Genomic DNA, 14,830 nt, shown 5'->3' with positions numbered 1-14,830 from the left:
ATGATTCTTAGCTTTTTTGCATTGGGTTAAAACATGCTCCTTTAGCTTAGTGAAGTTCATTATTATCGGGGAAACCCACCCCCAATATTTCAACATAGGTTCTTTCTATTTTCCATAAGTGTCGGCCGGCTGAGAAATAAAGAGAAAGAGTACAAACAGAGGAATTTTACAGCTGGGCCTCCGGGGTGACATCACATATCGGTAGGACCGTGATGCCCACCTGAGCCACAAAACCAGCAGGTTTTTATTAAGGGTTTCAAAAGGGGAGGGGGTGTATGAACAGGGAGTAGGTCACAAAGATCACATGATTCAAGGGGCAAAAAGGAGAACAAAGATCACATGTTTCTGAGGAAACAGGACAAAAGGCAAAACATAACTACTGATAAGGGTCTATGTTCAGCTGTGCACGTATTATTGTCTTGATAAACATCTTAAACAACAGAAAACAGGGTTCGAGAGCAGAGAACCGGTCTGACCTTGAATTCACCAGGGTGGGGTTTTTCCCCACCGTAGTAAGCCTGAGGGTACTGCAGGAGACCAGGGCGTATTTCAGTCCTTATCTCAACCACATAAGACAGACACTCCCAGAGCGGCTGTCTATAGACCTCCACCCAGGAATGCATTCCTTTCCCAGGGTCTTAATTATTAATATTCCTTGCTAGGAAAAGAATTTAGCAATATCTTCCCTACTTGCACGTCCGTTTATAGGCTCTCTGCAAGAAGAAAAATATGGCTCTATTCTGCCTGACCCCGCAGGCAGTCAGACCTTATGGTTGTCTTCCCTTGCTCCCTAAAATTGCTGTTATTCTGTTCTTTTTCAAGGTGCACTGATTTCATATTGTTCAAACACAAATGTTTTACAATCAATTTGTACAGTTAACACAATAGTGGTCCTGAGGTGACATACATCCTCAGCTTATGAAGATAATAGGATTAAGAGATTAAAGCAAGACAGGCGTAAGAAATTATAAAAGTATTAATTTTGGGAACTGATATATGTCCATATTAAAGTGAAATCTTCATAATTTATGTTCCTCTGCTGCAGCTCCAGCTGGTCCCTCTGTTCGGAGTCCCTGACTTCCCACAACACATTATTACTTGCCTTATGAAGCCCACTTCTGTCAATCTAGCCATCTCAGCCTCAGCCCAGTTCTGTGCCCTTGTTGGAAAGGTGGTGTAGTCACTTGGAGGAGAAGAGGCACTCTGGCATTTTGAGTTTTCAGTGTTTTTGCATTGATTCTTTCTCATCTTTGTGGGTTTATCTTCAATCTTTGAGGTTGCTGGCCTTTGAATGGGGGTTTTTGTGGGGTCTTTTTTGTTGTTGTTGCTGTTGCTTCCTGTTTGTTTGTTTCTCTTTTAACAGTCAGGCCACTCTTCCACAGGACTGCTGCAGTTTGCTGGGGGTCCACTCCAGACCCTAGTCACCTTGGTCCCTCCCTCACCTGGATGTAACACCAGTGAAGGCTGCAAAACAGCAAAGATGGCAGCCGGCTCCTTCTTCTGAAAGCTCCATCCCAGTGGTCACCGACCTGATGCTGGTCTGAACACTCCTCTAGGAGGTATCTGGAGACCCCTGTTGGGAGATCTCACCCAGTCAGGAGGAATGGGATCAGGGGCCAGCTTCAAGAAGCAGTCTGGCTGCCCTTTGGCTGAGCAGATGTGCTGCACTAGGGGGAATCCTTCCACCTCGTCCAAACCACCCAGACTCTCCAGAGCCAGCAGGTGAAAATGCTGTCAGCTGAACTGCAGAGACAGTGGTTGCCCCTCCCCCTGGGGGCTCCATCTCAGGGAGAGATCAGAGTTATGTCCATATAACCCTGGTCGGAATTGCTGAAATTCCCACAGGGAGCCCCTCCCCACACATCCCAGTGAGGAGAGATGGGTTGGGATCTCACTTAAAGAAGTAGTCTGGCCATGATCCGGCACAGCAGCAGCTGTGCTTCCTTATGGAGAACTCCTGCTGGTCTGTACCACCTGGACTCTCTGGAGCCAGCAGGCTAGAATGGCTGACTTGAACCATAGAGATGGCATCTGCCCCTCCCCCCAGGAACTCAATCCATCTCAGGCTGTCTCCAGCCTGCTGCCTCTGGCCATCTCCAGCCTGCTGCCTCTGGCCAGCTGGAATTCTAACCCAGTGGGTTGTGACTTGTGAGGTTCCATGGAAGTGGGGCCCACAGAACAATGCCAGTTGGCTCCCTTTATTCAGCCCCCTTCCTAGGGGAATGTACAAATGATATCCCACCTCAACTGGAATTTCCAGGGTGGAGTATGCAAAGCTCCTGTGTCTCTGTGTGTGCCTGATCAGCTACTTTGCTGAGACTCTATACAGCCCTGTGCTTCAGACCCAAGGCCCTGGTGGTGTGGGCTCACAAGGGGATCTCCTGATCTGCAGGTTGCAAAGATCTGTGGGAAAAGCGTGGTTTCCCAGGAAGAATTGCATGATCACTCACCAACTCCCTTGGCTGGGGGTGGGGCTGTCCTGGCTCTGTACCACTTCTGGGTGGGCCATCACCCCACCCTGCTTTCCTTGCTGTCCATGGGTCGAGCCATCTGCCTAGTCAGTCCCAATGTGAGAACCTGGATCCCTCAGTTGAAGGTGCAGAATTCACTCACCATTTTCATTCCTCTCCATGAAAGCCATGGACTGAAGCTGCTTCTAATCGACCATCTTGGCCTGTCCTATTTGTTTTCTTTAGTTCAATGTCTGTTCATGTTTTTGACCACTTTCTAATTGGATTGTTTGATTTTTTTTTTACTGTTGAGTTCCAAGCACACTTTATATATATTGTGGAAACAAATTATCTATTGCAGTTGTGACTTGCAAGCATTTTTTTTTCCCAGTCTGCACCTTGTTTTTTCATCCTCTTAACATCTTTTTCCCAGTGCATTTTTTTCATTTTGATAAAGTCTAATTTAGCAATTGTTTTCTTTTAAAGATTTGTGCTTTTGGTCTCAGGTATAAGAACTCTTTATCCACCTGTAGTTCCCCAAAATTTTATCCTATGTTTACTTCCAAAAATGTTTTACAGTTTACATTTAAATCCATGATCTATTTTGCATGGATTTTTATACAAGGTGTGAGAATTAGGTCCTAATTATTTTTTAAAGGTGAGTGCATTCAAATATACTTGGGTAACTCAAATTTAATTAAAAATAGAAATCAGAGGTGGTAATAATATAAGGTTAAATACACTCTTATATTCCCACATTCCAATTCATACCCCATTTTGAAGGTAGAGAATCTTCCTAAAGTACAATTCATATTGTATCACTCACTTGCTTAAATTCTTTCAACACCTCCTCACTTACCTCAGGATAAATTCTAAACTCCTTACTATGAGCAAAAGGCTTCACATGATTTGGGTCCTCTCCAGTCTTATTTTTGCCACCCTGTTCTCTATCCCCCAGTCACATTCACAATCCAGCCACAGTGAACTTCTTCAGTTTCCTAACTATCACATCCAGGTCTTCAAACATGTTTGGAACATTTTTTATTCATTCTTTATTTGGTTAGCTCCTATTTATCCTTTAGGTCTCACCTTGATCATAACTTCTTCCTAGAAAGCCTTCCCTAACTCCCCATCTGCGTTATATTGCCCTTTCTATGTTCTTACATAGTACTCTGTATGATCCTCATTATGGCATTTTTTACATTGTATTATAGTTGTCTGTTTACTTGTCTGCATCTTACCTCTAGATTATGAGTCTCATAATGACAAGGATTATTTCTATTGTGCTCACCATTGTTTCACAGATAACTAGCACCCTGCCTGAATCATACTGATGTTCAACAAATATTTGCTAGCAAACACATGGAATCAATCTAGATGCCCATCAATGGTGGATTGGATAACCAAAGAACAAAAAAACAACCAGTCTGAAGAGACAAGGTAAGCATCACAGCCACACTTGGATGCAGCAGAAATTTAGGAATTATAAGACCAGAAATTTAAAATAGGTATAACTAATATGTTAAGGGCTGTAATGGAAAAAGTGAACAACATTCAAAAATAGACAGATAATACAAGCAGATAGATGAAAATTCTAAGAAAGAATCAAAAGCAAATAAGCAAATGCTAGAAACAAAAAAACACTATTACATACATAATGTCTTTGATGGGCTCACCAGTAGACTAGACATGGTCCAGGAAAAGATCAGTGAAACTGAAGATATGGCAATATTAGCTTCCCAAGCTGAAAATCGAAGAGAAAAATTAGTGAAAAAATAGAATATTCAAGAACTGTGTGACAACTACAGAAGATGTGATATACATGTAATAGGAATCCCAGAAGAAGAAAGAGAGAAAGAAACAAAATAAATATTTGAAATAATAATGGCTGAGAATATTCCAAAATTATTAACAGATACCAAACCACAGATGCAAAGAAGCTCAGTGAATACCAAGCAGGAGAAATACCAAAATAAACAAACAAAAAACTACACTTAAGCATATCATATTTAAACTACAGGAAAGCAAAGATAAAGAGAAAATCTTGAAGGAAGCCAGAGGGGGAAAACATCTTATCGTTAGAAGAACAAGGGTAAGAATTTCAGAAACTTATCAGATACCATGAAAGCAAGAAGAAAGTGGAACGAAGTATTTAAAGTGTTGAAAGAAAAAAACCCACCAACCTAGAGTTCTATATCCAATTAAACTGTCCTTCAAAGTGAAGGAGAAATAAAGACTTTCTCATACAAACAAAACTTGAGGAAATGTGTCACCAGTAGGCTTGTCTTGTAAAAAAATGTTAAAAGAAGGCCTTCTCCTTCAGGGAGAAGGAAAATGATATAGGTCAGACACATGGATCTGGATTACAAAGGAAGAGTGTTCAAAAATACATAAATGAAGGTAAAATAAAATATTTTATTTTTCTTATGTTTCAGTGGCCTAACAGGTAAAAGTTTGTTCAAAATAATAAGAGCAATGATATGTTGGATATCGCTTATGAATAAGTGAAATATATGACAGAAATGTTTAAGGGATAGGAGAGAGGAACTAGGAATATTTTTTATAAGGTACCTGCACTTTCTGTGAACCAGTATGGTGTTATTTGAAAGTAGATTTAGATTAGTTGTAAATGCATATTGCAAACTCTAGGACAACCACTTAAAATTTTTCAAAGGAAACAAACAATATGCTAAGAGAAAAGAGAACATTGAATCATATAATATGTTCAACTTAAACCAGGAAAGAAAAAAAAAGAGTGGAAGATAGAAAAAGATAAAGAACCGGTGGAAAAAGAGAACAATTATAAAAAGGTACATATTAATCAAACCACATCAATAATGACTTTAAATGTGAATGGTCTAAATACACCAATTAAAACACAGATTATCACAGTGGATAAAAAACAAAGAACCAACTATATGTTGTCTACAAGAAATCCAATTTAAATATAAAGACCCAGATATATTAAAAGTAAAGGGTTAGAGAAATATATGCCATGCTGTCAGCAATCAAAAGAAAGCTTGAATAGCTGTATCAATATCGCATGAAGCAGATTTCAGAGCAAGAAAAATCTTCAGGGATAAAAATGGCCATTACATAATAAAGGGGTCAATTCTCTAAGAAGAAACAACAATCCTTCATGTATCTGTGCCTAAAAACAGCATTAAAATAGATGAGGCCAAAACTGATAGAACTGCAAGAAATAATCCACTTTTATAGTTGGAAATTTCAACATCCTTCTCTCAAAAAGCAACAGATTCAGCAGGCAGAAAATCAGGATATAATTGGACTGAAAGCACTGTTAATTAACTGGACCTGATTGACATAGAATGTCAATTCTATAAATTCTATAAATGTGGAACATTTATCAAGATAAATCACATCTTGGGCTTTAAAACACACCTTAACAAATTAAAAATAATTAAAATCATACAAAGTATTCTCTTAGACCATATTGGAATTAAACTAGTCATTAGTAACAGAAAAATAGGAAGAAAACCTCCAAAACATTTGGAGATTAAAAAACATACATATAAATAACACATTGTTCAAAAATAAAATCTCAGAAAAAGTTAAATTTTTTTTAATTAAATGAAAATAAAAGTATAATTTATCAAAATTTTCAGAATGTAGCAAAAGCAGTGCTTAGAAGGCTATTAATAGCATTTAATGGACATATTAGAAAGAAAGATATAAAATCAATAATATAAACTTTTACCTGAGGAAACTAGAAAAGAAAGGCAAGTTAAGTCCAAATTAAGTAGAAGAAATAAAATAGTAAAATTAGGGCAGCAATCAAAGAAATTGAAAACAAGAAATTAAGAGAGAAAATCAATGAAACCCAAATCTAGTTCTTTGAAAAGATCAATAAAATTAGTAAACCTCTAGCCAGGCTAACCAAGAAAAAAAGAAGATAGAAATTATTAATACAGGCATACCTCATTTTATTGTGCCTTGGATTAATGTGCTTTGCAGAGATTTTGTTTGTTTGTTTGTGTGTGTGTGTTTTTTTTTCAAATTGAAGATTTGTGGACACTCTATACCGTTTTTCTAACAGCATGTACTCACTTCATGTCTCAGTGTCACATTTGGGTAATTCTTACAGTATTTCAAACTTTTTCATTACTATTATATTTGTTATGGTGATCTATAATCAGTTATCTTTGATGTTACTATTACAGATCTATATTCAATTATCTTTGACGTTACCATTACAGTTCTTTCAGGGTGCCACAAACTGCACTCATATATGACAGCAAAGTTAACTGATCAATGTTGTGTGTGTTCTGACTGCTCCACTGACTGGCCATCCCTCATCTCTTTCCTTCTCCTCAGGGCTCCCTATTCCCTAAAATACAACAGTATGGAAATTAGGCCAATTAATAACCTTACAATGGCCTTTACATGTTCAAATGAAAGGAAAAGTTACATGTCTCTCCTTTAAATCAAAAGCTAGAAATGATAAAGCTTAGTAAAAAAGACATGTCGGAAGGCAGGACAGGCTGAAAGCTAGGCTTTTTGTGCCAACCGGCCAAGTTGTGAATGCAAAGAAAAAGTTCCTGAACAAGATTAAAAGTGCTACTCCAGTAAACAAATAAATGATAAGAAAGTGAAACAGCCTTATTGCTTATCCGGAGAACGTTTTCGTGGTCTAGATAGCTGAAACCAGCCACAATATTCCATTAAGCCAAATCCAGAGCAAGGCCTTTACTCTGTTCAATTCTATGAAGCAAGGAAGCTGCAGAAGAAAAGTCTGAAGCTAGCAGAGGCTGGTTCATGAGATTTAAGGAAAGAAGCCATTTCCATAACAAAAGTGCAAGGTGAAGCAGCAAGTGCTGATGGAGAAGCTGCAGAAGATCTAGCTCAGAAAACTGTTAAAGGTGGCTACACTAAGCAATAGAATTTCAATGTTGATGAAACAGTCTTCTGTTGGAAGAATATGCCATCTAGAACTTTCATAGCTAGAGAGAAGTCAATGCCTGACTTCAAAGCTTCTAAGGACAGGCTGACTCTCTTGTTAAGGGCTAATGCAGCTGGTGATATTAAGTTGAAGCCAATGGTCATTTATCATTCTGAAAGTCCTTGGGCCCTTAAAAATTATGCTACATTTACTCTGCCTATGCTCTAGAAATGGAACATCAAAGCCCAGGATGACAGCAAATCTGTTACCAGTATGTTTTTTTTAATTTTTAATTTTTGTGGGTACATAGTAGGTGGGTATGTGTATATATATATATCTTCAGCATATATATGTATATGTATATATATCAGCATGTATATATACATTATACATATATGTATATATATATCAGCATATATATGTGTATATATATACATACCCACCTACTATGTGTATATATAGTGTGTGTGTATATATATATAGGGTATATGGTATATTTTGATGATACAGGCATACAATGTGTAATAAATTACATCAGGGTAAATGAGATATCTATAATCTCAAACATTTATCCTTTGTGTTACAAACAATCCAAACATACTCTTTTAGTTATCTTAAAATGTACAACTAAATTATTATTAAATATAGTCACCCTATTGTACTATCAAATACTGGAATTTATTCATTCTTTTTACTGTTTTGTACCCATTAACCATTCCCCTTCTCTCTCCCCACTACACTTCTAGGCTCTGGTAACCATCATTCTGCTCTCTATCTCCGTTGAGCCCAGTTGTTTTAATTTTTAGCTCCCATGACTAAGTGAAAATAAAAAATGAAAGCGAAGATTGTCCTTCTGTGCCTGGCTTATTTCACTCAACACAATGACCTCCAGTGCCATCCACGTTGTTGCAAATGACAGGATCTCGTATTTTATAAGGCTGAATAGTGCTCAAGAGTGTATATGTGCCACATTTTCTTCATTCATCTGTTGATAAACATTTTGGGTTCCTTCCAAATCTTGACTATTGTGAATAGTGCTGCAATAAACATGGGAGTGTAGATATCTCTTCAATATACTGATTTCTTTTCCTTTGGGTATATACCCAACAGTGGGATTGCTGGATCATATGGTAACTATATTTTTAGTTGTTTTGAGGAACCTCAAACTGATTTCCATAGTGGTTGTATTAATTTATATTCCCACTGACAGTATGAGGTTTCCCTTTTCTCCACATACTTGGCACTATTTCTTATTGCTTGTCTTTTGGATAAAATCAATTTTAACTGGGCTGAGATATCTCATTGTAGTTTTGATTTGCATTTCTCTAATGATCACTGAGGTTAAGCACCTTTTCATATGACTGCCATTTGTATCTCTTCTTTTCAGAAACATCTGTTCAGGTCTTTTGCACATTTTTTCACCCTTTTCCTTTTTAGTAAAAGAAAAGTGCAGCTCACTACCAGCACTCATTTAATTTTACATAAACACACTCTTTGAGGCTGGAGCAAATCTGACTGATTTGCAATGTAAAAATAAAATATAAAAACTGTTTTTGGAGTTTTTTTCTAAACAGAACTAACATCAGAATCATCTGACTCATCAGAATCGTCTATTTTGGAAAACTCAGATTCTTCAAATGAATCTTCGGCCAAAAACTGTACAAGAACAATGTTAACGTGACATCTAGGAAGGCTACGTTTTCTAAGATTTGACATTTTTATCAATTGAGATTTACTATATTTTGTAAACGGAAATACCATTACTAAAAACAGAATGCTATAAATAGAATGATGTGTTTTGTTTCCAAAGTCAATGTACTGGAGCAATGCAAAAATAATACTAATCTTACTTTCACTTCCTTGGTTAATACTTGCAAGCACTGTTGGCAAGTGTTCTTAAGTCCAATGGGAAAAGGGCTAATAAGATTGTTAGATTTTTTCCTATAGAGTTGTTGGAACTCTTTATATATTCTGATTATTAATCTCTTGTCAGATGGGTAGTTTGCAAATATTTTCTCCCATTCTCTGGGTTGTCTTTTCATTTTGTTCATTGTTTCCTTTGCTGTGCAGAAGCTTGTTAACTTGATATGATCCCATTTGTCCACTTTTGCTTTGGTTTCCTGTGCTTGTGGGATATGACTTAAGAAATCTTTGCCCCGTCCAATTTGCTAGAAAGATTCCCCAGTGTTTTCTTGTAGTAGTTTCATAGTTTGAGATATTAGATTTAAGTCTTTAATCAATTTAGATTTTATTTTTGTACATGGCAAGAGATAGAGGTTTAGTTTCATTCTGCATGTAGATATCCAGTTTTCCCAGCATCATTTATTGAAGAGTTTGTCTTTTCCCTAATGTATGTTCTTGGCATCTTTGTCAAAAATGAGCTCACTGTAGATGTATGGATTTGTTTCTGACTTTTCTATTTTGTTCCTTTGGTTTACGTATCTGCTTTTATGCCAGTATCATGCTGTTTTCTTTACTATAGCTCTGTAGTATAATTTGAAATCAGGTAATGTGATCCTCCAGTTTTGTTCTTTTGGCTCAGGATAGCTTTGGCTATTCTGGGTCTTTTGTGGTTCCATATAAATTTTAGAATTGTTTTTTCTGTTTCTGTGAAGAATGTCATTGGTATTTTGATAGGGATTGCTATGAATCTGTAGATTGCTTTGGGTAGTATGGACATTTTTACAATATTGATTCTTCCAATCCATGAACATAGAATATCTTTTCTTTTTTTTGTATGTCCTCTGCAATTTCTTTCATCAATATTTTATAGTTTTCATTGCAGAGATTTTTCACTTCCTTGGCTAAATCTCACGTATTTGATTTTACTTGTAGCTATTGTAAATGGGATTACTCTCTTGATTTCTTTTTCAGATGGTTCACTGTTGGCATATAGTAATGCTACTGATTTTTGTATCTTGATTTTGTATCCTGCAATGTTACTGAATTTGTTTGATCAGTTCCAATAGGTTTCTGGTGGAGTCTTTAGGTTTTTCCAAATATAAGATCATATCATCTGCAAACAAGGATAATTTAACTTCCTCCTTTCCAATTTGGAGGCCCTTTATTTCTTTCTCTTGTCTGATTGCTCTAGCTAGGACTTCTAATGCTACGTTAGTAACAGTGGTGAAAAAAAGCATCCTTGTCATGTTCTGATCCCCATTCAGCATGATACTAGCTGTGGGTCTGTCATATATGGCTTTTATTATATTGAGGTATGTTCCATCTATATATCCAGTTTTTAAAGGGATTTTATAATGAAGCGATGTCAAATTTTATCAAATGCTTTTTCAGCATCTATTGAAATGATCACATGGTTTTTGTCCTCCATTCTGTTGATATGATGTATCATATTGCCCAATCTGCATATGTTGAACCATCATTGCATCCCTGGGATAAATCCCACTTGGTCATGATGAATGATCTTCTCAATGTGTTGTGCAACTCGGTTTGCTAGTATTTTGTTGAGGATTTTTGCATCAATGTTCATCAGGGATGTTGGCCTGTAGTTTTCTTTTCTTGATGTGTCTCTGTCTGGCTTTGGTATCAGAGCAATATGGCTCATAGAATGAGTCTGGAATTATTCCCTTCTCCTTTGTTTCTTGGAATAGTTTGAGTAGGATTGGTATTAGTTCTTTAAATGTTTTTTAGATTTCAACAGTGAAGCCATTGGGTCCCAGGCATTTCTGTGCTGGGAGACTTTGATCCTGTTACTTGCTACTGGTCTGTTCAGGTTAAGATTTCTTCATGGTTCAATCTTAGTAGGTTGTATGTGTCCAGGAATTTATCTATTTATTCTAGATTTTCCAATTTATTGGCACATAGTTGCTCATAGTAGCCACTATTAATCCTTTGAATTTTTGTGGTATTGGTTGTGATATTTCCTTTTTCATCTTATTTTACTTATTTGCATCGTCTATCTTTTTTTTCTTAGTGAGTCTGTCTAAAGTTTTGTGAATTTTGTTTATCTTTTCAAAAACCCAACTTTTTCTTTTTTTGGTATTTTCTATTATTTTCTTCATTTCAATTTCATTTATTTTTGTTCTGATCTTTATTTTCTCTACTAACTTTTGGTTTGTTTTGCTCTTGCTTTTCTAGTTCTGTAAGAGGCATCATTCAGTTATTTATTTGAAGTTTTTATTCTTTTTTAACATAGGCACTTACAGCTATAAACTTCACTCTTAGTAGTGCTTTTGCTGTATCTCATAGGTTTTCATATGTTGTGTTCCCATTATTATTTGTTTCAAGAAATTTTTAAATTTTCTTCTTAATTTCTTCATTGACCCACTGTTCATTCAGGAGCATATTGTTTAATTTCCATGTATTTCTTTAGTTTCCAGAATTCCTTTTGTTATTGATTTCTAGTTTTATTCCATTGTGGTCAGAAAAGATGCTTGATATTATTTCAATTTTTTGAATATTGTAAGCCTTTTTTTGTTACCCCAAAATATAATCTATCTTAGAGAATGATCCACGTGCTAAGGAAAAGAATGTGTATTCTGTAGCTGTTGAATCAAATGTTCTGTAAATATCTATTATATTCATTTAGTTTATAGTGCAGACTAAGTCTGAATTTCTTTGTTGATTTTTTGTTGGATATCTGTCCAATGCTAAAAGTGGGCTGTTGAAGTCTCCAGCTATTATTGTATTTGGGTCTCTCTCTTTAGCTTGAATATTTGCTTTATATGTCTGGGTTCTCCAGTTTTGACTGTGTATATATTTAAAATTGTTATATCCTCTTGCAGAATTGACCCTATTATCATTATATAGTGTCTTTCTTTGTCCCTTCTAATAGCTATTGTCTTGAAATCTAGTTTGTCTGTATATGTATAGCTACTTCTGCTAATTTTTTGGTTTCCATTGGCATGGAATATCCTTTTCCATTCCTTTATTTTTAACCTATGTGTGTGTTTGAAGGTGAAGTGTTTCAGTGGGTCCAGCCCACGGTGGGCGAGTCAAAGCAGGGCAGGGTGTCGCCTCACCTGGGAAGCACAAGGGGTCAGGGGATTTCCCTTTCATAGCCAAGGGAAGCCATGACAGACTGTACCTGGAAAAATGAAACACTCCCGCCCAAATACTGTGCTTTTCCCATGGTCTTAGCAACTGGCAGACCAGGAGATTCTCTCCCATACCTGGCTTGGCAGTTCCCATGCCCACGGAGCCTTGCTCACTGCTAGTGCAGCAGTCTGAGATCAACCTGCAAGGCTGCAGCCTGGAGGGGGAGGGGCGTCCACCATTGCTGAGGCTTGAATAGTTAAACAAAGCGACTGGGAAGTTCGAACTGGGCAGAGCCCACTGTAGCTCAGCAAGGCCTACTGCCTATATAGACTCCACCTCTGTGGGCAGGGCATAGCTGAACAAAAGGCAGCAGAAACTTGTGCAGACTTAAATGTCCCTGTCTGACAACTCTGAAGAGAGCAGTGGTTCTCACAGTATGGCGTTTGAGCTCTGAAACAGACCGCCTCCTCAAGTGGGTCCCTGACACCTGTGTAGCCTAACTAGGAGACACCTCCCAGTAGGGGCTGACAGACACTTCATACAGGCAGGTGCCCCTCTGGGACGAAGCTTCCAGAGGAAGGATCAGGTAGCAAGATCTGCTGTTCTGCAATATTTGCTGTTCTGCAGCCTCCACTGGTGATACCCAGGCAAACAGGTTCTGGAGTGGACCTCCAGCAAACTCCAACAGACCGGCAGCTGAGGGACCTGACTGTCAGAAGGAAAACTAACAAACAGAAAGAAATAACATCAGCATCAACAAAAAGGACATCCACACCAAAACCCCATCCACCAACATCAAAGACCAAAGGTAGATAAAACCACAAAGATGGGGAGAAACCAGAGCAGAAAAGCTGAAAATTCTAAAAATCAGAGTGCCTCTTCTCCTCCAAAGAATTGCAGCTCCTTGCCAGCAACAGAACAAAGCTGGACGGAAAAAGACTTTGACGAGTTGACAGAAGTAGGCTTCAGAAGGTTGGTAATAACAAACTTCTCTGAGCTAAAGAAGCACATTCTAACCCATTTCAAGGAAGCTAAAAACCTTGAAAAAAGATTAGATGAATGGCTAACTAGAATAAACAGAGTAGAGAAGACCTTACATGACCTGATGGAGCTGAAAACCATGGCACGAGAACTTCGTGAGGAATGCACAAACTTCAATAGCTGATTTGATCAAGTGGAAGAAAGGATATCAGTGATTAGAGATAAAATTAATGAAATAAAGTGAGAAGACAAGATTAGAGAAAATAAAAAGAAATGAACAAAGCCTCCAAGAAACATGGGACTATGTGAAAAGACCAAATCTACATCTGATAGGTGTACCTGAAAGTGACGGGGAGAATGGAACCAAGTTGGAAAACACTCTGCAGGATATCATCCAGGAGAACTTCCCCAACCTAGGAAGGCAGGCCAACATTCAAATTCAGGAAATACAGAGAACACCACAAAGATACTCCTCGAGAAGTGCAACCCCAAGACACATAATTGTCAGATTTACCAAGGTTGAAATGAAAGAAAAAATGTTAAGGGCAGCCAGAGAGAAAGGTTGGGTTACCCACAAAAGGAAGCCCATCAGACTAACAGCGGATCTCTTGGCAGAAACCCTACAAGCCAGAAGGGAGTAGGGGCCAGTATTCAACATTCTTAAAGAAAATAATTTTCAACCCAGAGTTTCTTATCCAGCCAAACTAAGCTTTATAAGTGAAGGAGAAATAAACTCCTTTAGAGACAAGCAAATGCCGAGAGATTTGTCACCACCAGGCCTGAAGGAAGCACTAAACATGGAAAGGAACAACCAGTACCAGCCCCTGCAAAAACATGCCAAATTGTAAAGACCATTGATGCTATGAAGAAACTGCATCAACTAATGGGCAAAATAACCAGCTAACATCATAATGACAGGATCAAATTCACACATAACAATATTAACCTTAAATGTAAATGGGCTAAATGCCCCAATTAAACAACACAGACTGGCAAATTGGATAAAGAGTCAAGACCCATCAGTGTGCTGTATTCACGAGACCCATATCATGTGCAGAGACACACATAGGCTCAAAGTAAAGGGATGGAGGAAGATCTACTAAGCAAATGGAAAGCAAAAGAAAAGCAGGAGTTGCAATCCTAGTCTCTCATAAAATTGACTTTAAACCAACACAGATCAAAAGAGAAAAAGAAGGCCATTACATAATGGTAAAGGGATAAATTCAACAAGAAGAGCTGACTATCCTAAATATATATGCACCCATTACAGGAGCACCCAGACTCATAAAGCAAGTCCTTAGAGATCTACAAAGAGACTTAGACTCCCACACAATAATAATGGGAGACTTTAACACCCCACTGTCAATATTAGACAGATAAACGAGAAAGAAGGTTAACAAGGATATCCAGGACTTGAACTCAGCTCTGCACCAAGTAGATGTAATAGACATCTACAGAACTCTGCACCCCAAATCAACAGAATATACATTCTTCTCAGCAC

General features: G+C 37.6%; 1 protein-coding gene across 1 annotated transcript in view; it reads right to left on the bottom strand.

Moving 5' to 3' along the window:
- The window catches only part of SPRY3 (sprouty RTK signaling antagonist 3), a gene marked incomplete at its 5' end in the record, with an annotated part of 45,557 nt that extends 41,358 nt beyond the window's left edge, over positions 1-4,199 (bottom strand). Inside the window, 1 exon segment of the mRNA NM_001394354.1 lies at positions 4,127-4,199.
- Positions 4,200-14,830: the final 10,631 nt, after the last annotated feature.

The sequence above is a fragment of the Homo sapiens genome, chromosome Y (genome assembly GCF_000001405.40).
Source record: "Homo sapiens chromosome Y, GRCh38.p14 Primary Assembly".
Taxonomy (NCBI): Eukaryota; Metazoa; Chordata; class Mammalia; order Primates; family Hominidae; genus Homo; species Homo sapiens.
This window is presented reverse-complemented; position numbering and strand designations above follow the sequence as displayed.